The 23980-nt window shown below is 49.2% G+C and overlaps 2 protein-coding genes and 3 long non-coding RNA genes across 9 annotated transcripts in view, besides 5 other annotated features; 1 reads left to right on the top strand and 4 right to left on the bottom strand.

Moving 5' to 3' along the window:
- The window catches only part of LOC107986031 (uncharacterized), a 1150-nt gene extending 469 nt beyond the window's left edge, over positions 1–681 (bottom strand). Inside the window, exon 1 of the long non-coding RNA XR_001740547.2 lies at positions 64–681. This is a non-coding gene — a long non-coding RNA (uncharacterized LOC107986031). The remainder of the gene's footprint in view (positions 1–63) is intronic.
- The window catches only part of DYNLT2B (dynein light chain Tctex-type 2B), a 27022-nt gene extending 25692 nt beyond the window's left edge, over positions 1–1330 (bottom strand). For both annotated transcript variants that reach the window (NM_001351628.2, NM_152773.5), the window contains exon 1: positions 1130–1330. In NM_001351628.2, coding sequence (NP_001338557.1) covers positions 1130–1242 — 113 coding nt within the window. In that variant the 5' untranslated portion in view covers positions 1243–1330. The remainder of the gene's footprint in view (positions 1–1129) is intronic.
- TM4SF19-DYNLT2B (TM4SF19-DYNLT2B readthrough (NMD candidate)) overlaps positions 1–21510 on the bottom strand; it is a 22336-nt gene extending 826 nt beyond the window's left edge. The window contains exons 1-5 of the long non-coding RNA NR_037950.1: positions 21354–21510; positions 10480–10681; positions 10045–10122; positions 7361–7530; positions 6834–7087 (exon numbers count right to left, since the gene is read on the bottom strand). This is a non-coding gene — a long non-coding RNA (TM4SF19-DYNLT2B readthrough (NMD candidate)). The remainder of the gene's footprint in view (positions 1–6833; positions 7088–7360; positions 7531–10044; positions 10123–10479; positions 10682–21353) is intronic.
- Positions 850–1099: a silencer, noted in NCBI's record as "silent region_15060". NCBI's record gives its function as "represses an Ori minimal core promoter by ATAC-STARR-seq in GM12878 lymphoblastoid cells {active_cell/tissue: GM12878}" and the evidence as "EXISTENCE:reporter gene assay evidence [ECO:0000049][PMID:35858748]".
- Positions 1160–1259: an enhancer, noted in NCBI's record as "active region_21087". NCBI's record gives its function as "activates an Ori minimal core promoter by ATAC-STARR-seq in GM12878 lymphoblastoid cells {active_cell/tissue: GM12878}" and the evidence as "EXISTENCE:reporter gene assay evidence [ECO:0000049][PMID:35858748]".
- Positions 1422–8660, top strand: TM4SF19-AS1 (TM4SF19 antisense RNA 1). 2 transcript variants are annotated; one of them, NR_046724.1, is made up of 2 exons: positions 1422–1527; positions 6920–8660. It is a non-coding gene; the product is annotated as a TM4SF19 antisense RNA 1 (long non-coding RNA). The 2 variants fall into 2 exon arrangements; NR_121665.1 differs by lacking the exon at positions 6920–8660 and adding an exon at positions 6550–6763.
- TM4SF19 (transmembrane 4 L six family member 19) lies at positions 6637–21478 on the bottom strand. Of its 3 annotated transcripts, none has more exons than NM_001204897.2 (5): positions 21354–21478; positions 10480–10681; positions 10045–10122; positions 7365–7530; positions 6637–7087 (listed from the first exon to the last, which is right to left on the bottom strand). In NM_001204897.2, exons 2-5 carry the CDS (start codon positions 10678–10680, stop codon positions 6804–6806), a joined length of 729 nt encoding a protein of 242 aa, NP_001191826.1. In that variant the 5' UTR covers position 10681; positions 21354–21478; the 3' UTR covers positions 6637–6803. The 3 variants fall into 3 exon arrangements, with proteins under 3 accessions (NP_001191826.1, NP_612470.2, NP_001191827.1); NM_138461.4 differs by having other exon boundaries at positions 7361–7530; NM_001204898.2 differs by lacking the exon at positions 10045–10122 and having other exon boundaries at positions 7361–7530.
- Positions 21002–22201: an enhancer, noted in NCBI's record as "BRD4-independent group 4 enhancer chr3:196064783-196065982 (GRCh37/hg19 assembly coordinates)". NCBI's record gives its function as "activates an origin of replication core promoter dependent on BRD2, P300/CBP, MED14 and CDK7 cofactors, and independent of BRD4, by STARR-seq in HCT116 cells {active_cell/tissue: HCT116}" and the evidence as "EXISTENCE:reporter gene assay evidence [ECO:0000049][PMID:35650434]".
- Positions 21568–21862: an enhancer, noted in NCBI's record as "tiled region #3422; HepG2 Activating DNase matched - State 10:DNaseD, and K562 Activating DNase unmatched - State 5:Enh". NCBI's record gives its function as "activates a minimal TATA promoter and a strong SV40 promoter by Sharpr-MPRA in HepG2 cells, with weaker activation in K562 cells {active_cell/tissue: HepG2 | K562}" and the evidence as "EXISTENCE:reporter gene assay evidence [ECO:0000049][PMID:27701403]".
- Positions 21611–21782: a silencer, noted in NCBI's record as "fragment chr3:196065392-196065563 (GRCh37/hg19 assembly coordinates)". NCBI's record gives its function as "represses an EF-1alpha promoter that drives an FKBP-Casp9 reporter gene in an ReSE screen in K562 erythroleukemia cells {active_cell/tissue: K562}" and the evidence as "EXISTENCE:reporter gene assay evidence [ECO:0000049][PMID:32094911]".

Consider the following 23980-nt stretch of genomic DNA (forward strand, 5'->3'; position numbering starts at 1 on the left):
TGTGGTGTGTGTGTGTGTTGTGTGGTGTGTGTGTGTGTGTGTAAAGTTAGTGATCTCACAAACCTAGCTGAGTACCCTCTGCTCTGGCCCGTGAGCCTGACATTTTTTTCAGTGTGTGTGTGTGTGTGTGTGTGTTGTGTGGTGTGTGTGTGGTGTGTGTGTGTGTGTGTGTGTGTGTAAAGTTAGTGATCTTACAAACCTGAGTACCCTCTGCTCTGGCCCGTGAGCCTGACATTTTTTTTCAGTGTGTGTGTGTGTGTGTGTGTGTGTGTTGTGTGTGTGTGTGTAAAGTTAGTGATCTTACAAACCTAGCTGAGTACCCTCTGCTCTGGCCCGTGAGCCTGACATTTTTTTTCAGTGTGTGTGTGTGTTGTGTGTGTGTGTGTGTGTAAAGTTAGTGATCTTACAAACCTAGCTGAGTACCCTCTGCTCTGGCCCGTGAGCCTGATATTTTTTTCAGTGTGTGTGTGTGTGTGTGTGTGTGTGTGTGTAAAGTTAGTGATCTCACAAACCTAGCTGAGTACCCTCTGCTCTGGCCCGTGAGCCTGATATTTTTTTCAGTGTGTGTGTGTGTGTGTGTGTGTGTGTGTAAAGTTAGTGATCTCACAAACCTAGCTGAGTACCCTCTGCTCTGGCCCGTGAGCCTTAATCCTAGCGAGGGCTCGCTGCGGTGGTCTAAGGGCCTCCAGATCCCACCCGGGTAGGACTTCGCACAGATGCAGCTCCCGCGCCGGGAGTGAGCCCATCCTGGCACCCGTGTGCACAGTCACCCTCGAATCACGGCTGAACGGCATCCGACGCGAGTGGCTTCCTGCCTCTATTCTACCCATCTCCTTACTCAGGACGCCATCGCGGGTTTCCCAGGGCCAACCATTCCCGCCGCGCCACCCTAAGACGCGCCCGGCGCCCAAACACTGAGGAAGCGGGTGGGGTCCCCTGCGGCCCCTGCAGCGGGAGGGGCGCCCGGACGTCACAGCAGGGCCGCCCGCCCGCCTCGCGGCCTCCCGCCTCCCGCCCCGCGGACCCCGCGCGTCCCCCGCGCTCCTTCCGTGGCCCAGGTCCCAGGCGAGCTCCGCCCCTCAGACCAGCGCGCTCGAGGTCGCCCCGCCACAGCCCGTCCTCTACCCGCCTCTGCTGGAAAACAGGCCGCAGAATATAGGTGTTCTCGGGCTCCCCTGCGTTCTTCTCAGCCTCAGGCACCCCGTCGCCCACCGAGAAGGACACTCCGATGGACGTGGCCATGCCGGGGCTTCTCGGTCCGGGCGTAGCTCGCGATGAAGGCCTAGCGGGTTGCGGTCGCGGCCGGCAGCAGGGAAAGCGTCTCCAGGGCAACAGGGCCGCCCTCCCGCCTCGCTGAAGCCCGCGAGCGCCCCGCACAGCCGCCCTCCCTGCCCGCGCCTGCGCACCGGCTGCTGGGCGGGAACTGGTCGCGTCCGGACGCGCGACAGCTTCCACCCGCCTCAGGCAGTATCAGCCGCGCCGCAGTCGGAGGAAATAGACGCGGGGCCTGAGGCTCCTGGACTTGAGGTATTAGGCTGGTGCAGAAGTAATTGCGGCGGCCGGGTGCGGGGGCTCAGGCCTGCAATCCCAGCACTTTGGGAGGCCGAGGCGGGCGGATCACCTGAGTCAGGAAGAGTTCAAGACCATCCTGGCCGACATGGTGAAACCCCATCTCTACTGAAAATACAAAAATTAGCCGGGCGTGGTGGCGCGTGCCTGTAACCCCAGCTGCTCTGGAGGCTGAGGCAGAATAATCTATTGAACCCAGGAGGCCGAGGTTGCAGTGAGCCGAGATCGCGCCACTGCACTCCAGCCTGGCGACAGAGCGAGACTGCGTCTCAAAAAAAGAAAAAAAAAAAAAAAGGAAGGAAGGAAAGAGACTTAGGCTGCATTCCCCGCTTTTAAAAATATATATTTATTTTTATTTTTTTAAACGAAGTCTCGCTCTGTCACTCAGGCTGGAGTGCAGAGGCGCGATCTCGGCTCACTGCAACCTCCACCTCCCAGGTTCAAGCAATTCTGCCTCAGCCTCCCAAGCAGCAGGGATTACAGGCGCGCCCCACCACGACCGGCTAATTTTTTTTGTATTTTTATTAGAGACGGGGTTTCACCATATTGGCCAGGCTGGTCTCCAACTCCTGACCTCAGGTGATCGCCCACCTCGGTCTCCCGAAGTGCTGGGATGACAGGCGTGAGCCATCGTACTCTGCCGCATTCCCTGCTTATAAGCACCAGTCCCTGGTCCTGTTTTAGAAGGCTGTTGTATCTTGGCCTCTGCTAGCTTCAAAAACTAAGGCCCGATGAGGTAGCTCGTGCCTGTAATCCCTGTTTACAGGAGAGGCTGAAAGGGCAGGGATTCCTTTTTTTTTTTTTCCCACTTGAGACAGGGTCTTGCTCTGTTTCTCAGGCTGGAGTGCAGTGGCACACTCACCGCTCACTTCAGCCTCGACCTCTTGGACTCAAGCAGTCCTCCCACCTCAGCCTCTGGAGTACCTGGAACTACAGGCGAATGCCACCGCGCGTGGCTAATCTTTTTAATTTTTGTAGAGATAGGATCTGGCTATGCTGCCCAGGCTACTATTGAACTCTTGGGCTCAAGTGATTATCCCACCTCAGCCTTCCGAAGTGCTGGGACTACAGGCATGAGCCATCACAGCCAGCTGGGATATTGTTTTTCGAATCGCTGTCATGTTCTGTACTATATGCAGTTCCTGAAAGAATGGAGGCAAGAAGGAGTCAGCTAACCACTGTGAACTGTCTTAGTGCCAAGGACCCACCCTTCTCTCCTTGGGGTCCTGCTGACCCATCAGAATAGGGCTGAGCCAGGATGGGGCTTGTGGAGATGATGTGTATGAGTGTGCATGCACTTGTGTGTGCATGCCTAACATCCAAAACTAGATATAAATTCTTTAAACTTTTCATTAGTTGGCCAGGCACGGTGACTCGCACCTGTGATCCCAGCACTTTGGGAGGCCGAGGCGGGCGGATCATGAGGTTAGGAGATCAAGACCATCCTGGCTAACATTGTGAAACCCGGTCTCTACTAAAAATACAAAAATTAGCTGGGTGTGGTGGCATGTGCCTGTAATCCCAGCTACTTGGGAGGCTGAGGCAGGAGAATTGCTTGAACCAGGGAGTCGGAGCTTGCAGTGAGCCGAGATCACACCACTGCACTCCAGCATGAGACTCTGTATCAAAAAAAAAAAAAAAAAAAAAAATTCTGCGTGAGTTGTGTGGAGGTGTCAGTACCTTTCCCCAGCAAGAGAAGCTTCTCCATATCAGGCATATCCTAGCCATGACCCTGAAACTAACCAGCCAAGAGGGAAATGTGAGACAAGCCCAGGCAAGCTTCCTGGATGTTGTATGCAGGAATAGGATGTGCTCTCTGGACTTGGAGACTTCCTGCCTGCTCAAGAGGCTGTGCCTCCTTGTGTCTCCCACAGGCCTCTGTGTCCACCTTCCCCACCCTGGCAGGCCTGCTAGGCCAGCAGCCCTGGAGAGGAAAGGGTGAGGTGGTGTTTGAAGGGACCTGCCTCCTACGAGCTCTGCTGGTTGGACTGTCGGATGACAGAACCGTGCCTCTGAGCCTGGGAGAGGGAGGCACCCCTGTGTTCTGGAAGCCCCCAGTGCTTCAGCAACTCCTCACTGAGGCAGAATAGTGGAGGAATCAAGCTGGGATCCAGGGGACTGAGGAGGGGATAGAGCAGCACCTGGGCCCCACATTCCCTTCCAACAGAGCCTGGGGTGCTGTGTTTCCGGGAGGGTTTTTTTTGTTTTTTGTTTTCCCGAGACAGAATCTCGCTCTGACCCCCAGCCTGGAGTGCAGTGGCATGATCTCGGCTCACTGCAACCTCCGCCTCTCGGGTTCAAGCAATTCTCCTGCCTCAGCCTCCCGAGTAGCTGGGATTACAGGTGCACACCACCACACCTGGCTAATTTTTGTATTTTTTATAGAGACGGGGTTTCACCATGTTGGCTAGGCTGGTCGTGAACTTCTGACCTCATGATCTGCCTGCCTCAGACTCCTAAAGTGCTGGGATTACAGGTGTGAGCCACTGCACCCGGCCTCTTTTTTTTTTTTTTTTTTTTTTTTTGTGAGACAGAGTCTCTGTCCCCCAGGCTGGAGTTCAGTGGTGCAATCTCGGCTCACTGCAACCTCTGTCTCCTGGTTTCAAGCAATTCTCCTGCTTCAGCCTCTGAATAGCTGGGATTACCGACATGCACCACCACGCCCATATAATTTTTGTATTTTTTGTAGAGCTGAAGTTTCACTATGTTGGCCAGGCTGGTCTCAAACTCCTGACTTCTGGTGATCCACCCACCGTGGCCTCCCAAAGTGCTGGGATTGCAGGTGTGAGCCACCGTGCCCGGCCAGAGCCTGGGGTTCTCAAACTCGTTTCTGGGGACCGCCCACCACTTTTCTTGCCAGTGCCCATCTTCCAGGTTCCTCCCAGGCTGCTTCTGCCTGCCTTGTCCTCTTCCTGCCTGTCACACCACACTCTCCCACCAGCATCTTCCTCATTCCGCTCTGACTCTCCTCACCACCCAGCCCGACCTGACTGAAAACCCCGCAGTGGGAGAGCAGGAGGCCCCTGCTTCTAGGTGCCGTGTGAGAAGCAGCTGTGAGGTCGGGTTGGGTGGCTCACGCCTGTAATCCCAGCACTTTGGGAGGCCGAGGTGGGCGGGTCACAAGGTCAGGAGTTCAAGACCAGCCTGGCCAATATGGTGAAAACCCATCTCTACTAAAAGTACAAAAAAAATAGCCAGGTGTGGTGGCGGGTGCCTGTAATCCCAGCCACTCAGGAGGCTGAAGCAGGAGAATCGCTTGAACTTGGGAGGCAGAGGGTGCAGTGAGCCGAGATCATGCCACTGCACTCCAGCCTGGGCAACAGAGCGAGACTCCATAAAAAAGAAAAAGAGATTTAATTGGCTCACAGTTCTGCAGGGGTTACAGGAAGCATAGCACCCACATCACTCAGCTTCTGGGGAGGCCTCAGAGAGCTTTTACTCATGGCAGCAGGTGAAGAGGGAGCAGGCGAGTCACATAGTGAGAGCAGGAGCAGGCGAGAGAGAGGCCAGAGGTGCCACACGCTTCTAAATGACCAGATCTCGCGGGAACCCACTATCACAAAGACAGCTCTGAGCCGTGAGGGATCCGCCTCATGATCCACACACCTTCTGCCAGGCCCCACCTCTAGCACTGGGGATCACAATTCAACATGAGATTTGGGTGAGGACAGATATCCAAACTGTGTGGACAGAGGTGATGCTCCTCTACTTGTTGAACTCTTGAACACTAGTGAAGAGAATGCTGGTGTATTAGTCTGCCAGGCTGCTGTTGCAGAATACCATGAACTGGGCACTTAAGCAACTGAAATAGATTTTCTCACAGTGCTGGAGGCTAGAAGTCCAAGATCCAGGTGCCAGCAGGTTTGGTATCTCCTGAGGCCTCGCCCCTGCGCTTGCAGACAGCCGCCTTCTCACTGGGTCCTTACAGGGCCTTTTTCTTTGAGCCAGTGTAGAGAGCTCTGTTCTTTCTTCCTCTTTTTATAAGCACACCAGTCCTATTTAATTAGGGTCCCACCCTATGGCCTCATTTAATCATTTGTTGTTGTGTTTTTTTTTTTTGAGACGAGGTCTCACTGTGTTGCCCAGGTTAGTCTCAAACCCCTGGTCACAAGTGATCTTCCCACATTGGCCTCCCAAAGTGCTCAGATTACAGGTGTGAGCCATTGCGCCCAGTCTCATTTAACCTTAATTACTAATTTAAAGGTGCCATCATGGCCAGGCGCGGTGGCTCACACCTGTAATCCCAGCACTTTTGGAGGCCAAGGTGGGCGGATCACTTGCAGCCAGGAGTTCGAGACCAGCCTGGCCAACATGGTGAAACCCCCGTCTCTACTAAAAATACAAAAATTAGCTGGGTGTGGTGGCACATGCCTGTAATCCCAGCTACTCAGGAGGCTGAGGCAGGAGAATCACTTGAACCTGGGAGGTGGAGGTTGCAGTGAGCCGAGATCACGCCACTGCACTCCAGCCTGGGTGACAGAGCGAGACTGTCTCAAAAAAAAAAAAAAAAAGTGCCACCACCAAAGACTGTCATATTGGGGGTTAGGGCTTCAACCTACAGATTTGGAGGAAACACTATTTAGTCCACAATAACTGGAGAAGTTGAATTTAGAAGATGGGGGTTGGGGCCAGGCACAGTGACTCATGCCTGTAATCCAGCGCTTTGGGAGACCAAGGTGGGAGGATCACTTGAGGTCAGGAGTTCAAGACCAGACTGGGCAATATAGCGAGACTCCCTCTCTACAGAAAATTTAAAAATTAGCCAGGTGTAGTGGTGTGTGCCTGTAGTCCCAGCTACTCGGAGGCTAAGGCAGGAGGATCGCTTGAGTGCATGGGTTGTAGGTTACAGTAAGCTATGATTGTGCCACTGTACTCCAGACAGGGGAACAGAGCAAGACCCTGTCTCAGCAACAACAAAACAACAGGGAGATAGGGGGTCAGGTGCTGACTTCACCTTAACTTCACTGTGTGCTTTTACAGCAAGCCTGTTACCCTCTGTGAGCCTCAACTTCTCTATGTGTAACAAATGGCCAACTTTATGGGATTGTCAAGAAGCTGAAATGAGACCCTGGCTGGAGGATATTTTATGGACTATAAATTCCTAAACAATTATAATAACTTAGTTATTTATCCTATCCATGGATCACCTGGAAGTTTACAATGTGATTTAAAATGCATTCTATCATTCCACCGACCTGCAGTGAATTTTGTTGTCATTATTACTCCAGGGATACCTAAAGGGGAAGTTTGTTTATAATTCGTACCCACTCCTTGTAGAAAGGATTCAAGACAGCCGATGATGAAAACACCCATGCTTGCAAGTGAAGGTTCTGCCTGTCACTTCTCGCAGAGGCTGCAGAAAAGGCCCAGGAGGCTGTTGATGACATGAACGACCACCAGGAGAAGCTGGAGCAGGCTGATGCACAGAAGGGCGGAGAAGAGGGACACGTGCCAGACAACAGCTGCAGAGGGCTCCAGGCAGACGGAGTTCCAGAGCGAACGGTCATACAGATAATTCCTATCCCAAAAAATAAGGAGACCAGGGGTCAGGCGATAAGTAAGGAAAGCCAAACAGGCAACCCCAGTAGAAAACTGGGGTCTCCCCTGACCGGGTCATGGGACTGGGCTCATGAGGGTGACCGTTACTGCTCCATTTGCAATTTTCTGAGTATCAGAGGAGCAAGATGCTAGGATGTGTGACCCAAAGGAGCTTGTAGTTCGTCTGTGTGTCTTTTTGTCTCTCTCTCTCTCTCTGTCTGAAAAGACCAAGCCCAAGCCTCCACCCATTTACCTACTATGCAGGTCTTTGAATGGGTAACCATATTTCCAAGCTTGTGTCTGATTGAAGGATGAAACATCAAACATGCAAAAAGGACCATCTTTCAGAGCAACTCCAGAAGTGACAAAGCAAATCAGGGCTCCAAGTAAAGCCAGGCCACCTGACAACAGAGCAGTAAGCACCTGCGGAGGGAGGAGAAACACTGAGCTAAGACGGGGTCGCAGCTGGGGAGCCTGCGGAGGGAGGAGAAACGCTGAGCTAAGACGGGGTCGCAGCTGGGGAGTCTGTGGGGCGGTCTGCACAGGTCTGACTTCTCTGGTCTCAGTGTTCTTCCGTCCTGTCATGGGGGAGAATTCTGTCCATGGCACCCCCTTTGAAGCATAACCCATGGTGGGGAGGCCGTGAGGGGTTTCTAGGAGAGAAAGGACCAAGAAGCAGAATCGCAGGCCCCGGATCTCCCTGACCGTGAGTTCGCCTGAGCTGCTCAGCAGCTTGGCATCACAAACCTTTTGCACATTACAGCCATTCAGCCTCTGAGCTAAAGAAGAAGCTACCACAGGCCCACCACTGACTCTTCTAAGGAAAAGCTGCATTTTCAAAAGTTCCAGGTTCCCAACTCTGATTCTTCTCTATTTCAAATCAAGGATAAAAAAAAGGAAGGGAGGGAAGGAAGGAAAGAAAGAAGCAGGAAAGAAGGGAAGGAGAGAAGTGGGAGGGAGGGAAAGAAGGGAGAGAAACAGCGAGAGAGAAGCTGCAGCCAAGCTCTGAAATGACTCCACTTCTGTCGCTGTGTTTCTCCAGCTGAGAGCTTTCTTGGCCATCAGTCTGTGCTCCCACTGCCCTCCCAGAAAATAACTGGGTTTCCTTCCTTGACAGGTTTCTAGCCTGCTTCTACATTGGCTTCTTTCTCGTTCCTTCCTTCCTTCCCTTCCTTCCTTCTTTCTCTCTCTCTCTTTCTTTTTGAGACAGAGTCTCACTCTGTCGCCCAGGCTGGAGTGCAGTGGCACGATCTCAGCTCACTGCAACCTCTGCCTCTGAGTTCAAGCGATTCTCCTGCCTCAGCCTCCCAAGTAGCTGGGACTACAAGCATGCGCCACCACACCCAGCTAATTTTTGTATTTTTAGTAGAAATGGGGTTTCACTGTGTTGGTCATGCCGGTCTCAATCTCCTGACCTTGTGATCCACCTGCTTCAGCCTCCCAAAGTGCTGGGATTACAGGCATGAGCCACCGTGCCCGGCCCATATTGGATTCTTTCTTAGGGTTCTAGATTTTTTTCTCCCTCCCCCAAAAATGCCTATTTTAAAAATGTGAATAACACCTACATAGCGTTTTTCTGCAGAGTCATGGAGTCATTCTCCCACTGAGGTCAAGCTGGTTTGGAGTTGGGGAGGGATCAGACAAAGGTGCATAGTAAGTTTTGACTCTGAGTTAAAGGAGTCAAGATGAATCAGTAAGCCTAGGGCAGTGGTTCCCAAAATGGGGTCCCTGCCCAGCCGCATCACATCACCTGAGAACCTGTTAGAAATGCAAAACTTCCCCGCCATCCTGAATCAGAAACTCTGGGGAGGGAGCCCAGCAATCCGTGTTCCGGCAAAAGCCCTCCAGGTGATTCTCATGCACATTCAAGTGTCAGAACTACGTGCCACGGGGAAAACCAGAATGAGAACAGACAGTGAATGAAATGTGCAAGTGTTTATTTATTTATCTATGTACTTATTTATTTATTTATTTTGAAACGGAGTCTCGCTCTGTCGCCCAGGCTGGAGTGCAGTGGCGCCATCTCGGCTCACTGCAAGCTCCGCCTCCCGGGTTCAAGAGATTTTCCTGCCTCAGCCTCCTGAGTTGCTGGGATTACAGGCGCCCACCACCACGCCCAGCTAATTTTTGTATTTTTGGTAGAGACGGGGTTTCACCATGTTGGCCAGGCTGGTCTCAAACTCCTGACCTCAGGTGATCCGCCCATCTTGGCCTCCCAAAGTGCTGGGATTACAGGCGTGAGCCACCGCGCCTGGCCTATATTTGATTTTTTAACATGTAACTGAGTCAGTGGGCTTCCCAACATGTGGGCTGCAGATATCAGAGCAGGCTGTGGAGTTACCATAAGGCCACAGATTCATGTCTGAGAACGAGTGTGTGTGTGTGTGTGTGTGTGTGTTTGTTACACACACATATACTGAGATCTTTCAAGTTTATACAGTTGCTGCTGTAATTAATAAGGTAGAAATTTATTCTGGGCCTCAGTTTATCTGTAAAATGGAGGGGTTAGATTAGAATCTAGTGATTAGATGATCTCTGGAAAACTTTCCTGTTCTAAGAAAATATTAGTTAAAATAACTAGGAAAATTTCCATCAATGACACATGATTACAGTGTCATAACTCATGTCCATATTGTCCAACACCCTAAGAGAGTAACAGTTTCTCACACTGGTACAGACGTCTGGGTCCTCACACTGGTACAGACGTCTGGGCTTCACTAAGCACTACTCCCTTGACTTGATCAGCTCCCATTTTACAGATGAAAGCCTGAAACTGGAAAGATGAAGCAACTTGCCCAAGAACTTAGCGTTACTGAGGGTCACAGTGAGGACCTGACTTCAGGCCCCAAGACCAAAATTGCCTCTTTACCGCCCTGCCTCTAGAGTAATAGAGGTGGAGACATTCTGGGTGTTAGAAGAGTGGAATCTGGTGCTTACGCTTCGACAGAGCCCACTCTTACTGAAGCAGCCGTATCTCCAGCCCATCAAGGAGATGAGGATAGCTGCAGTGAGTACCTGCAGGAGAGAGAAGAATGTTGAGATGGGGAAATCGACTTTGCCGGCTGTTTCTAGGTGCTGCCCACAGCTGTTAGAGTGGCTGGCAGCTCACATGAACGCAGTCCTGTTGACTCTGACTCTGGGGACCCACATTTGTATGACGAGCCTGATCTAACGCTGTGGATGTTAACTTTCACACCCGACCTGCCTGGTCCCAAGCTAGGCTTCCTGTCTCTTAGAGCTTCTACAGACCCAAGATCAGCTTGTTAGAATAAACTTTTCTGCAAGGAATCAAAACACTCTTCCCATGCCACCTTCCTGCTCCCCGCCGGGGTCTCTTTGAGAGTTCACGTTCAGGGAACCCCGGACACTTACCATGAGGCCTCCTCCCCAGAGCCCAGTTCCCAGCATGGCATGCCTGCCAAGGAGGCCCCTCAACAGGTAGGTGACATCCCAGTTAGGAAGGAGGAGTGCCACGTTGGCCCCAGCAGCAAACAGGGCTGCAGTCCCAAGGCTCAGTCCCAGGATACGGGAGCAAGTCCGTGAGCTTGCCTGCGTGCAGGGAGAGGACACCATCCTGGAACAGATAGAAAGGGAGTCGCAGCAGCTCTGCTGTGGGGGGATGGGGAAGGGAACTCCAGCAGCATATCATGGGTGAGGGAAACAGACTACAGAAACCGCCACCTTCCAGGGTCAGACCAATGAGAGCCAAGCAACCTGCTTAAAAACTCTGCTCCTTAGGAATCTTCCCCAGTGACTAGGATTTAATTGTTTCCTTTTCTGCTAACCCCTGTTCACACATACATAGTTTGCATTCCATCATATTTTGTTTATGCCTCTATTACAGCCAGTGATTATTTCTGACAAAAAGAAATGTTTAAAGGTGTCTTCATGATGTCCATTGTCTCCACTTCTATTCAACGTTGTACTGGTCCTGGCCAGTGCAATACGAAAATAAAAGGAAGCAAAAGCCACACAGATAGGAAAGAAAGAAGTAATATTGTCGGCCAGGCATGGTGGCTCAGGCCTGTAATCCCAGCACTTTGGGAGGCTGAGGCAGGCGGATCACGAGGTCAGGAGTTCAAGACCAGCCTGGCCAACATGGTGAAACCCCGTCTCTACTAAAAATACAAAAATTAGCTGGGCACGGTGGTGGGTGCCTGTAATCCCAGCTACTGGGGAGACTGAGGCAGGAGAATTGCTTGAACCCGGGAGGCAGAGGTTGCAGTGAGCTGAGATCATGCCACTGCACTCCAGCCTGGGTGACACAGCAAGACTCCATCTTAAAAAAAAAAAAAAGTAACATTGTTATTATTCACAGATAATGTGATCACATTATGTAGAAAATCCTAAAGTTTATTAGAATTAACAGGTGAGTTTAGCAACGTCATAGAATAAAAGATTAATATACAAAAATTATATTGTATTTCTATATACAAGCAATGACAAATTGAGGATTGAAATTAAAATATATCATTTACAATAGCATAAAAATATAATACATATGGATGAATTTAACAAAATATTTGCAAGACCTATATAGTAAGAATTGCAAAGCATTGCTGAGAAAATTAATGGAGACCTAAATAAATGGAGACATATACCATGTTCCTGAACCAGAAGACTCAAAATAGTTAACATGTTCTCCCTAAATTGATGCAAAGATTTAAAGCAATATCAGTCAAAATCCTAGGAGAGTTTTGTTATAGAAATTGACAAACTGAATCTAAATTTATATGGAAATGCAAAGCAATTGTGAAGATTAGCCAAAGCAATTCTGAAAAACAAACAAAGCTGGAGAACTTACGCCATGTGATTTCAAGACTTACAAAGCTACAGTAATTGAAGACACTGAAGCCACGCGTAAGGAAACACATATGGACTACTGGAACAGGCTGGAGCTCAGAAACAGACCCGGTCCAGGAAAAATGATTTTTTTTTTTTCTTGAGACGGAGTCTCGCTCTGTTGCTCAGGCTGGAGTGCAGTGGCGCGATCTCAGCTCACTGCAACCTCTGCCTCCCAGGTTCAAGCGATTCTCCTGCCTCAGCCTCCCAAGTAGCTGGGATTACAGGTGCCCGCCACCATGCCCGGTAATTTTTTGTATTTTTAGTAGAGACGGGGTTTCACCGTGTTAGCCAGGACGGTCTTGATCTCCTGACCTCGTGATCCGCCTGTCTCGGGCTCCCAAAGTGCTGGGATTACAGGCATGAGCCACCGCGCCCGGCCAATAAATGATTTTTTAAGAAGATGACAATTCAGCGGGAAAAAGTCTCTTCCACAAATGGTGCCGGAACAATGCACATGCAAAACAAAACTGCCTTCACTATTACTTCACAACATATTCAAAAATTCACTTGAAATGGAGCATGGGTCTAAAAGCTTTATAAAATTTCTAGAATAAAACAAAGGAGAAAAACACTGGGACCTTGGGTTAGATAAAGGTTTCTTACTAAAATGCAAAAAGTACAATCCACAAAACATGATTAATCAGACTGCTTAAAAATTTAAATGTCAGCTGGGTGCTTGCCTATAATCCCAGCTACTCGGAGGTTGAGGCAGGAAAATCGCTTGAACCCAGGAGGCAGAGGCTGCAGTGAGCTGAGATCGCGCCACTGCACTTCAGCCTGGGCGACAAGAGCAAGCGACTCCATCTAAAAAAAAAAAATCATGCTAAAAGAAATAAGCCAGACACTAAAGGACAAATATTGTATGATTCCACTTATATGAAATATTCAAAATAACAACTTTATAGAGAAAGAAAGTAGACTGGAGGTTATCAGGGACTGTGGGGAGGGAGGAGAGAATGGGGAGTTATTGTTTAATGGTTACAGAGGTTTTCAGGTTTTGTTTTGTGTTGTTTTGTTTTTTTTTTTTGAGACAGAGTCTTGCTCTGTCAGCCAGGCTGGAGTGCAGTGGCGCAATCTCAGCTCACTGCAACCTCTGCCTCCTGGGCTCAAGCAATTCTCCTGCCTCAGCCTCCCAAGTAGCTGGGACTACAGGCATGTGCCACCACGCCTGGCTAATTTTTGTATTTTTAGTAGAGACAGGGTTTCACTATGTTGGCCAGGCTGGTCTTGAACTCCTGACCTCAGGTGATCTGCCCGCCTCGGCCTCCCACCGCGCGCGGTGGTTTTGGGGTTTTTTTAGAGATGCAGTCTCACTATGTTACCCCAGCTGGTCTTCAACTCCTGGACTCAAATGATCCTCCAGCCCGTGCCTCCAGAGTAGCTATGACCAGATCTGGGCCACTGCCCACGGTTTAAGGGTTACAGACTTTCTGTTTGGGGTGAAGAAAAGTTTTGGAAATAGATAATGGTAATGGTTGCACATCATTGCAAATGTAATTAATGTCACTGAATTATACACTTTAAAATGGTTAAAATGACAAATCTGATGTTACTTTACCACAATAAAAAATCAATTAAAAAATTTGTGATTACTCAAATCCTTATCAGTAATCAATAGGTGAATCAAGACAAATTGTGTTATCCATACAAATGAGTTCTATTAGGTAATAAAATGCGTAAATTTCTGCTACATATAACATGGATGAATCTCAAAAGCATTGTGTTAAGTGGAAGAAGCCAGAAACAAAAGACTACTCACATGTTTCTATATATACGAAATTCTAGAAAAGGCAAAACTTTTAACGGAGAGCAGATGAGCGGTTGCCATGGGCTGAGAATGGGAAAGAGGATTAGTATGGGGCATGGGAAGCTTTCTGAAGGGGTGGAAGCATTCTGTGTCTAGATTCTGGTGGTGAATACATAACTGTACATATTGACAAAACTCATTAAACTTTGCACTTAAAATAGGTGAATTTTATTGAATTTTAACTATATATCAATAAAGCTAATTACAATTAAAATGTCATATCTAGATAAATTATAAAATGCCTCTTCCACTCCTTATGTTCCTCTCTTTTATATTTTCATTGATATGTGAACTTCTTGTTTTTTAGAAAAATATGAATTAAGGCCGGGCACGGTGACTTACACCTGTAATCCCAGCACTTTGGGAGGCCAAGGCAGGTGGATCGCCTGATGTCAGGAGTTTGAGATAAGCCTGGTCAACATGGTGAAACCGTGTCTCTATTAAAAAATACAAAAAAATTGCTGGACGTGGTGGCAGGCACCTGTAATCCCAGCTACTCGGGTGGCTGAGGCAGCAGAATCGCTTGAGCCCAGGAGGCAGAAGTTGCAGTGAGCAGAGATCGTGCCATTGCACTCCAGCCCAGGAAACAAGAGTGAAGCTCTATCTAAAAAAAAAATATATATATATACATATATATATGAATTAAAATAGGACTAGTAATATTTGGGCAGACTCATGTCAATGTGGATCTGAAAAAAGTCAGCGTCATGACATCCCCAGGAAGTGGCCTGTTCCCACTGTGCAGTTCAGTTACACGTCTGTCTCCCCTTAAGGCTCGCTATTTATTTATTTATTTAATTTATTTATTTATTTTTTATTGAAAAAAATTTATTTTTAGCCGGGTGCAGTGGCTCACGCCTGTAATCCCAGCACTTTGGGAGGCCAAAGCCGGCAGATCACCTGAGGTCAGGAGTTCAAGACCAGCCTGGCCATCATGACGAAACCCCATCTCTACTAAAAATACAAAACTAGCCGGGCGTGGTGGCGCATGCCTGTAATCCCAGCTACTCGGAAGGCTGAGGCAGGAGAATCACTTGAACCCGGGAGGTGGAGGTTGCAGTGAGCCGAGATTACGCCACTGCACTCCAGCCTGGACAACAAGAGTGAAACTCCGTCTCAGAAGAAAAAAAAATGTAATAGAGGTGAGGTCTCCTTATGTGGCCCAGGCTGGTCTCAAACTCCTTGGCTCAAGGGCCCTCCCACTTCAGACACCTAAAGTGCTAGGATGACAGGCGTGAGCCACTGCACTTGGCCACTTGAGGCTCTTGACACGCCTATAACACACTGCTTTGCACCTAATCAGAAAATATGTGTATAGAGGCCAGGCACGGTGGCTCACGCCTGTAACCCCAGCACTTTGGGAGGCTGAGGTGGGTGGATCACGAGGTCAGGAGTTTCCGACCAACCTGGCCAACATGGTGAAACCCCGTCTCTACTAAAAATACAAAAAAATTAGCTGGGCATGGTGGCGGGTGCCTGTGGTCCCAGCTACTCGGGAGGCTGAGGCAGTAGAATGGCGTGAACCTGGGGGGCTGAGATCACGCCAGTGCACTCCAGCCTGGGCAAGAGAGTGAGATTCGGTCTCAAAAAAAAAAAATTAACTGCGTGGTGGTGTGCGCCTGTAATCCAAGCTACTCAGGAGCTTGAGGCAGGAGAATCGCTTGAGCCCGAGAGGCAGAGGTGGCAGTGAGCCCAGATCACGCCACTGCACTCCAGCCTGGGTGACAGAGCAAAAGAGAGAGAGAGAGAGGAGGGAGAGAGGGAGGGAGGGAGGGAGGAAGGAAGAAAGGAAAGGAAGGAAGGAAAGAGGAAGGGGAAGGGGAAGGGAAGAAAAAAAATATATATATATATAAAAGATATGGATCAGAGGCTCTATATATATGCACACACACATATATATCATATACATATAATGTATAATGTGCGTATATATGTGTGTACGTACACACACACACACACACAATAGTCCCCCATATCTGCAGGGGATATGTTCCAAGAGCTCCAGCGGATACCTGAAACCACAGATCATACCAAACTCTGTATATTCAGATGCTTCTCCACTTATGATGGGGTCGAACTCCTATAAACCCGTTGTAAGTCAAAATATCCTAAGTTCAAAAGGCATTTAATGCTGGCAACACAGTAGACTGTCCCTGACTCACAATGGTTCAACTTACAATTTTTTTTTTTTTTTTTTTTTTGAGACAGGGTCTTGCTCTGTCACCCAGGCTGGAGTGCAGTAGCACAATCATTGTTCACTGCAGCCCTGATCTGGGCTCAAGTGATCCTCCCACCTCAGTCTCTCGGATAGCTGAGACCGCAGGCATGCGCCACCATACCTGGCTAATGTTTTAGTTCTATAGAGACAGGGTCTCACTATGTTGCCCAAGCTGATCTCAAACTCCTGGCCTCAAGTGATCCTCTCACCTCCACCTCCCAAAATGTTGGGATTACAGGCGTAAGCCACCACGCCCAGTCCCAATTTACTTTTGACTTTGTGATGGTGCAAAAGCAATGAGTATTCAGTAGAAACCGTAATCCCATCATAAAGGGTAAGGAGTTCACTGATGATGGAGTTAGGTCCCTAGAAACCTGTCGTAAAGTTGGAAACTTAGAAGTCAAACCACTATAAGTAGAGGACTGTCTGTACTATGCTTTTTCCTATACATACATATCTGTAATAAAGTTTAATTTATAAATCAGGCATAGTAAGAAGTTCGCAACAATAATAATAAAATAGAACAGTTATAACAACATACTGTAATGAAAGTTATGTGAATGTGGTCTTTCTCATTGAAAATATTTTATGTAAGTTTTTTGAACTGCAGTTGACCACAGATAGCTAAAACTTTGGAAAGCAAAGCTTCAGTTAAGGGGGGATTACTTTACATCACACATAAATAATGAAATATTTCACAGCATGAAGAATTAAACATTGGGGGAGGGCCAGGGCTGAAAAACTATCTGTAGGTACCGCGCTCACTACCTGAGTGACGGGAATCACTCATACCCTAACCTCAACATCACACAATAGACACGGAACAAGCCTGTATATGTATCCCCGGATCTAAAATAAAAGTTGAAATTATATTTTTAAAATTTGCATTAAAGGCCAGGTGCAGTAGTTCACGCCTATAATCCCAGCACTGTGGGAGGCCGAGGCGGGTGGATCACTTGAGGTCAGGAGTTCAAGACAGCCTGGCCAACCTGGCGAAACCTCATCTCTACTAAAAATACAAAACTTAGCTGGGAATGGTGGTGTGCGCCTGTAATCCCAGCTACTCAGGAGGCTGAGGCAGAAGAATCACTTGAACCTGGGAGGCAGAGGTTGCAGTGAGCCAAGATCGCACCACTGCACTCCAGCCTGGACCACAGATCGAGACTCCGTCTCAAAAAAAAAAAATTGCATTAAAAAAGAATTAAACATAATGTGTAAAATATATTTGTAACTTGTGTGAGATAATTAACACCCATGTAAACACAACCAATATCAAACATACGTCATTACCCATCACATCACTGACACTCAGGTGTGCCCTCTCCAATCCTGCCTTCTTTCTGGATTCCTTCCTAGGAACTACTATCCTATATTTCATCTTCAACATATCCTTTTAAAAACAGTTTTACGACTTAGGAACTCAGAATTGTTTTAGAAACTTGTTTAGTCGGGTGTTTTCCATTTTTCAAGACTGTAGCTTTTCTTTTCTTTTTCTTTTTTTTTTTGAGATGGAGTCTTGCTCTGTCTCCCAGGCTGGAGCTCAGAAACAGACCCGGTCCAGGATAAATAATTTTTTTTTTTCTTGAGACAGAGTCTCACTCTGTCGCTCAGGCTGGAGTGCAGTGGCGCGATCTCAGCTCACTGCAACCTCCGCCTCCCCGGTTCAAGCGATTGTTCTGCCTCAGACTCCCCAGTAGCTGGGACTACAGCTGCACACCACCATGCCCGGCTAATTTTTGTATTTTTAGTAAAGACAGGGTTTCACCATGTTGGCCAGGCTGGTCTTGAACTCCTGGTCTCAAGTGATCCTCCTGCCTCGGTTTCCCAAAGTGCTGGAATTACAGGTGTGAGCCACCAAACCCGGCCAGACTGTAGCTTATGGTAAAGAAGACAAGGGGAGGGGTGCCCTGGGAGGGTGGGGGTAGGAGAGAGGAAGGGTGCCCTGAGAAGGTGGGGGTTAGGAGAAGGGAGGGGTGCACTGGGAGGGTGGGTGTAGGAGAGGGAAGGGTGCCCTGAGAAGGTGGGGGTTAGGAGAAGGGAGGGGTGCACTGGGAGGGTGGGTGTAGGAGAGGGAAGGGTGCCCTGAGAAGGTGGGGGTTAGGAGAAGGGAGGGGTGCACTGGGAGGGTGGGTGTAGGAGAGGGAAGGGATGCCCTGAGAAGGTGGGGGTTAGGAGAAGGGAGGGGTGCACTGGGAGGGTGGGGGTAGGAGAGGGAAGGGATGCCCTGAGAAGGTGGGGGTTGGAGAGGGGAGGGGTGCTCTGGGAGGGTGGGGGTAGGAGAGGGGAGAGGTGCCCTGGGAGGGTGGCCAGAGGACAGGGGAGGAGTGCACAGGGAGAGTGGGGGTAGGAGAGGGGAGGGATGCACGGGGAGGGTGGAGGTAGCAGAGGGGAGGGGTGCATGGGGAGGGTGGGGGCAGGAGAGGGCAGGGGTGCTTGGGGAGGGGTTGTAGGAAAGAGGAGGGGTGCACTGGGAGGGTGGGGGTAGGAGAGGGGAGGGGTGCACTGGGAGGGTGTGGGTAGGAGAGGGGAGGGGTGCCCTGGGAGGGTGTGGGTAGGAGAGGGGAGGGGTGCCCTGGGAGGGTGGGGGTAGGAGAGGGGAGGGGTGCCCTGGGAGGGTGGGGGTAGGAGAGAGGTGGGGTGCCCTGAGAGGGTGGGCGTAGGATATGAAGCAACAGTGACTCCTACCCCAGGGGCCCAAGGGTCCTGGGGCAGGGTGGGGTCAGGAATCGGGAGGGATGGGGTGTCTCTTCCCCCATCAACCCTCTGGCTGACAGGCCACCGGACTCCTCAGTCACAGCAAGGAACCTGTCCTGCTCCTGGGAGCAGGGCGCCTGTGGAGAACGGCCCCCTCACAGCCTGCCCACACTGCTGCGATGTCCCCGCATGTCTGCACATCCTCCCTCCGAGACGGTCCCATCGTGCAGTGCGGGGCTTGCAGTGTGTAATTCTGTGTTGAGGCAAATTAACCACCCAGGGTGTTAACAACTCACAACTTTAATCCACTGCCCACCCAGATGTCTGACCGGGGCCCAAGGAAAGATGGGTGTGTGGTTGGCCTTTCAAGCGGGTGCTCTAGATCATGGGGCCAGGAGACGCCGTTGTGCAGGAATGCATTTAGTGCCTTCAAATCACGGCACCTCTGAGAAAGCACCGTCTACACACTTCAGCAACATCAACCCCCCTGACGATCTCTTCTACAGAAAACGTTCCCATCAGAAAAGTCTGTTTTTTTTGTTTTTGTTTTTGTTTTGTTTTTTGTTTTTTTTTTGAGACAGAGTTTCACTCTTGTTGCCCAGGCTGGAGTGCAATGGCGCGGCCTCAGCTCACTGCTACCTCCGCCTCCTGGGTTCAAGTGATTCTCCTGCCTCAGACTCCTGAGTAGCTGGGATTACAGGTGCACACCACTACGCCCGGCTAATTTTGTATTTTTAGTAGAGATGGGGTTTCTCCAGGTTAGCCACGCTGGTCTTGAACTCCTGACCTCAGGTGATTCACCTACCTTGGCCTCCTAAAGTGCTGGGATTACAGGTGTGAGCCACAGCGCCCAGCCCAGAAAACTCTTAAAGGGGAAACTAAAAATGATGGACAGCGAGGGAAAACTACCAGCTGGAGCATGGCTTTTGGATGAGTGGAATTCAGAGCCCTGGCTGTCCGCCAATCAAACACTAAAAGCACTTGCCGCACTGCGGCTTCGTGTGAATTTCACCCCTCCTCCTGACTTTATTCCCCTAGAAATTATAACATTTGGAGAAACCCTTCCAAAAATGTGAACCAGGAGGTTAGCAAAGAGGTGGCCTAATTTGATATCTGAAGAGACAAGCAAGATCAGAAGGTAAAACCTTAAAACCAGGCTGCTGGGGAGTTCCTTGTTCTGTCCTGAGGTCCTAGCTAGGTGAGCACGTCATCGGCTAGATGTCCAGGCAACAACAGAAGTGATCGGCTCAATTCCATGGAGGAAGAGACCGCACATTCTCTACATCTGTGTCTCTCCCTCGCCACCCAGCAAGGCTTTTCTTTCATTCTTCCTTCAGTCGGATATTTATTAAGTGATCACTACCTGACAGACACTTGGGGGGCTAGGGATATAACGATGAAAAAGATGTAATCCCTTTCCTTGAGGAGCTTAAAGTCTAGTGGGGACACTGCTGACGCAAAAAGCAATTCTTTTTTTTTTTTTTTTTTTTTTTTTTTGAGACACAGTCTCGCTCTTGTTGCCCAGGCTGGAGTGCAGCGGCATGCTCTTGGCTCACTGCAACCTCCGCCTCTCGGGTTCAAGTTATTCTCCTGCCTCAGCCTCCCAAGTAGCTGGAATTACAGGCATGCACCACGCCCGGCTAATTTTGTATTTTTAGTAGTGATGGGTTTTCGCCATGTGGGTCAGGCTGGCCAAAAAGTAATTCTAATCAAGTGTGGTAAGAAATAGAGCAGACATGAGCAGGGCGGGAGAGGGCCTCTACCCCAGTAATGTCAGGTGACTATCAGGTGATGGCCAGGCGGTTGTTACACTGTCTTTCTAAAATAATATTGGTCACAGCCAGCGTTGGGAAAGACAGTCTCCCAATAGATAGAAAATACCTGAACTTGGTGATCAGCAGCTTCCTGGTAAGAGCTCAGGAATTGGGCGAGTGGGCTCAAGCATCTACACTAAGAAGCAAAATGGTGGAGTTTAGCTGGTGTGTGTGACCTTCCTCTAGTGCTGCTCCGCGGGTAAGGGAAAAACGCCTCAAGTGAGCATGCGCACGACTTCAGTAAACACACTGCGCATGCGGCCCCTCCCAAGTGCCTGTGCGGCAGGCAGGCGCCAAGTCAAGGGTCTAACAGCACATTTGGGTGTCTCAAGTCACGCACTTGGCCCTTTTCCAAGTGTACTTTACTTCCTTTCATTGCTGCTCAAAAACTTTTTAATAAACCTTCACTCCTGCTCTCAAACTTGCTTCAGCCTCTCCCTCTGCCTTAAACCCACTTCTGCCCCTCAGCCGAATCTCTCCCCCGAGAAGGCAAGGATTGAGTTTGCTGCAGACTCGCTGGATTCACAGCTGGTAACAGTAAGTACCAGGCAGGGGCATCCAACTTAAGGTGTCATGGAAGCACATGGAGGAACCTAATCCTATCTGGCAGAAGCAAAACGAAGCTTCCCGGAGGAAGGGCTGCCCATGCCCAAACTTGATGGACGATGAGATACTAGGCAGGAAGAGTATTCTAGGTGCAAAGGCCAGAAGTTGACAGACTGAGGCAACAGGAGAAGGTAAGTGAATGGCGCAAAGTCACACAGACGCCAAGCTGCAGAGCCAGGCTCACTGGAGTGGAAGCGTGCACTCTCATCTGTGAGGCTAGGCTGTTCCCTGGCCGTCACCTCACCCTTTCATCTCTGCTTACCTGCATCTGGTGTCAAGAATCAGAATGGGAGAGACAGAACCTGGAGAAAGGCTGCGTCTTCAGAGTGGGGCTCCACTCCTCCAGCTCCAGGGCTGGACCTGAAGGTTGTCTTTCCAGGACTCTTTCCAGGAGGGCCAGGGAGGCTCTGTATATACGTAGAGGTCACCCAGGCGTGTGTGTGTGCGCGCCCCCACGCCCCTGCCCACAGGCCTGCATTGAAGGCGCTTCCGCTCCCCGGAGAGCCCTGTCCTGATGACCCACCCTCTGCTCATTTTCATGTGATTCTAAGGCAGGAAACGGGAGACATGGCCTCATGAGCTCCGCTGTCCTGATGAGTCACTGGATGCACCCGTGAGAAACACCTCACCCTCCGCTCTCCCCAGGCAGCAACACTTGCCACACCCCAGCTGTTCCTGTCCTCATCTGCCACCCCGCGAAGAATTTCGGCTCTTTGACAGAACAGCACCGAGCAGGGCAGCCACCCCTTTTTCCTCATCACTCTCCTTACCTTGCCCTTGGCTGACTCGATGTGTTGCATGGTTCCTGTACTAGACGTCTAACTTTTTTTTTTTTTTTTTTTTGAGACAGGGTCTCACTCTGTCACCCAGGCTGGAGTGCAGTGGCATGATCTCGGCTCACTGCAACCTCCGCCTCCCACACTCAAGCAATCCTCCCACCTCAGCCTCCTGAGTAGCTGGGATTACAGGCACCTGCCACCATGCCCGGCTAATGTTTGTATTTTTAATAGAGACGGGGTTTTGCCATTTTGGCCAGGCTGGTCTCGAACTGCTGACCTCAGGTGTTCGCCTCAGCCTCCCAAAGTGCTGAGATTACAGGTGTGAGCCACCGCACTCAGCCTCTTGTTCAAGCCCCAGGCCACTATCATCTTGTACCATACTCTCACCAAATTGCTGAGGATTTTGTGGTGCTCTCTGTGTGGGAGATCCGTGACCCTCTATGGACAAGCTCCTATTCAAGATTCAGTTCAAACATTCCCAGTGAAGTCTGCCAGGATTTCTTTACTCCGAGTTAGGTACTTCTTTCTCTATGCTCCCATTGCATTTTAAACATCTAGATATTATATACAGTAAAGTGCACAAATCTTTTCTTTTCTTTTTTTTTTTTTTGAGACGGAGTTTCACTCTTGTTCCCAGGCTGGAGTGCAGTGGCACAATCTCAGCTCACTGCAACCTCTGCCTCCTGGCTTCAAGCAATTCTCCTGCCTCAGCCTCCCAAGTAGCTGGGATTACAGGCACGTGCCACCACGCCTGGCTAATTTTGTATTTTTAGTAGAAACACGGTTTCTCCATGTTGGTCAGGCTGGTCTCAAACTCCCGACCTCAGGCGATCCACCCGCCTCCGCCTCCCAAAGTGCTGGGATTACAGGTGTGAGCCAGCACGCCCAGCCTAAAGTGCACAAATCTTAATGTTAAAGTCTGATGAATTTTTACATGTATACCCTGGTGAACCAGCACAGAAATCAAGATACAGGACATTCCAAATCCCCAGAGGTTTCATTGTGTCGCCTGTCATTCGTATCCCTTGTCCCCAGTGTTAACTTTCATTTTGGCTCTTATAATAATTGATTAGGTTTTAGTTGTTCTTGAATTTCACATAAATGGAATCAAACAGTTTTCTTTAAAAAAAAAAAAAAAAAAGGCGGTTTTGCTGTGTCATCCAGGCGGGAGTGCAGTGGCACAATCATGACTCACTGCAGCCTTTTGCCTTCATAGGCTCAAGTGATCCTCACACTTCAGCCTCCTGAGTAGCTGGGACCACAGGCAAGCGCCACCACGCCAGCTGATTTTTTAATTTCGTGTACAGATGGGGTCTCACCATGTAGCCCAGTCTGGTCTCGAACTCCTAGGCTCAAGTGATCCTCCTGCCTCGGCCTCCCAAAGTGCTGGATTACAAGCGTGCGCCACCGCGCCCAGCCCAGTATGGCTTTTGTGTGTGGCTTTCTTCACTCAATATTCTATATGTAAGATTCATCCATCATGTAATTTATTTTTCTTTTATTGCTGAGTATTATTACATTGGATATTACAACTTTTTCTACTCTTAATGGACATTTATATTTTCAACTTTTGCCTGTTATAAATAATGCTGCTATGAATATTCTTCTGCATGTCTTTTGAAGGAACTATGCACTAATTTTTCCAGGGAATATTCTTAGGAGTAGGATTGCTATCATAGGGCAGGTGAATATTTAATTTTGGCAGATATTGCCAAACAGATTCCCAAAGTAGTCCTAATTTACACACCCACCAGCAGTGTGTGACAGTTCCAGTTTCTACACATTCTCACAAACATTTTTAATTTTAGGCATTGTGGTGGGTGTTTAGTGTAATCTCCTTGTGTTTGAATTTGCATCTCCTTGATGAGTAAGCACCTTTTCATATACGTATTAGCCATTTGAAGATCCTCTTTGAGAAGTTCCCGTCCATGGTTTTTGCCCATTTGTTATGGGTTATCTTTTTTTCTGTTTTCTGGTTCATTATAATTCCAGGTATGAGACCTTTATCAGGTAAATTTATTGTGAATGTTTTCCCCCAGTTTGTGGTTTGACTTTTTACTCTCTTTATTATGTCTTATTTTATTTTATTTTATTTTATTTTATTTTATTT

This window comes from Homo sapiens, chromosome 3, assembly GCF_000001405.40.
Source record: "Homo sapiens chromosome 3, GRCh38.p14 Primary Assembly".
NCBI classification, from domain to species: domain Eukaryota; kingdom Metazoa; phylum Chordata; class Mammalia; order Primates; family Hominidae; genus Homo; species Homo sapiens.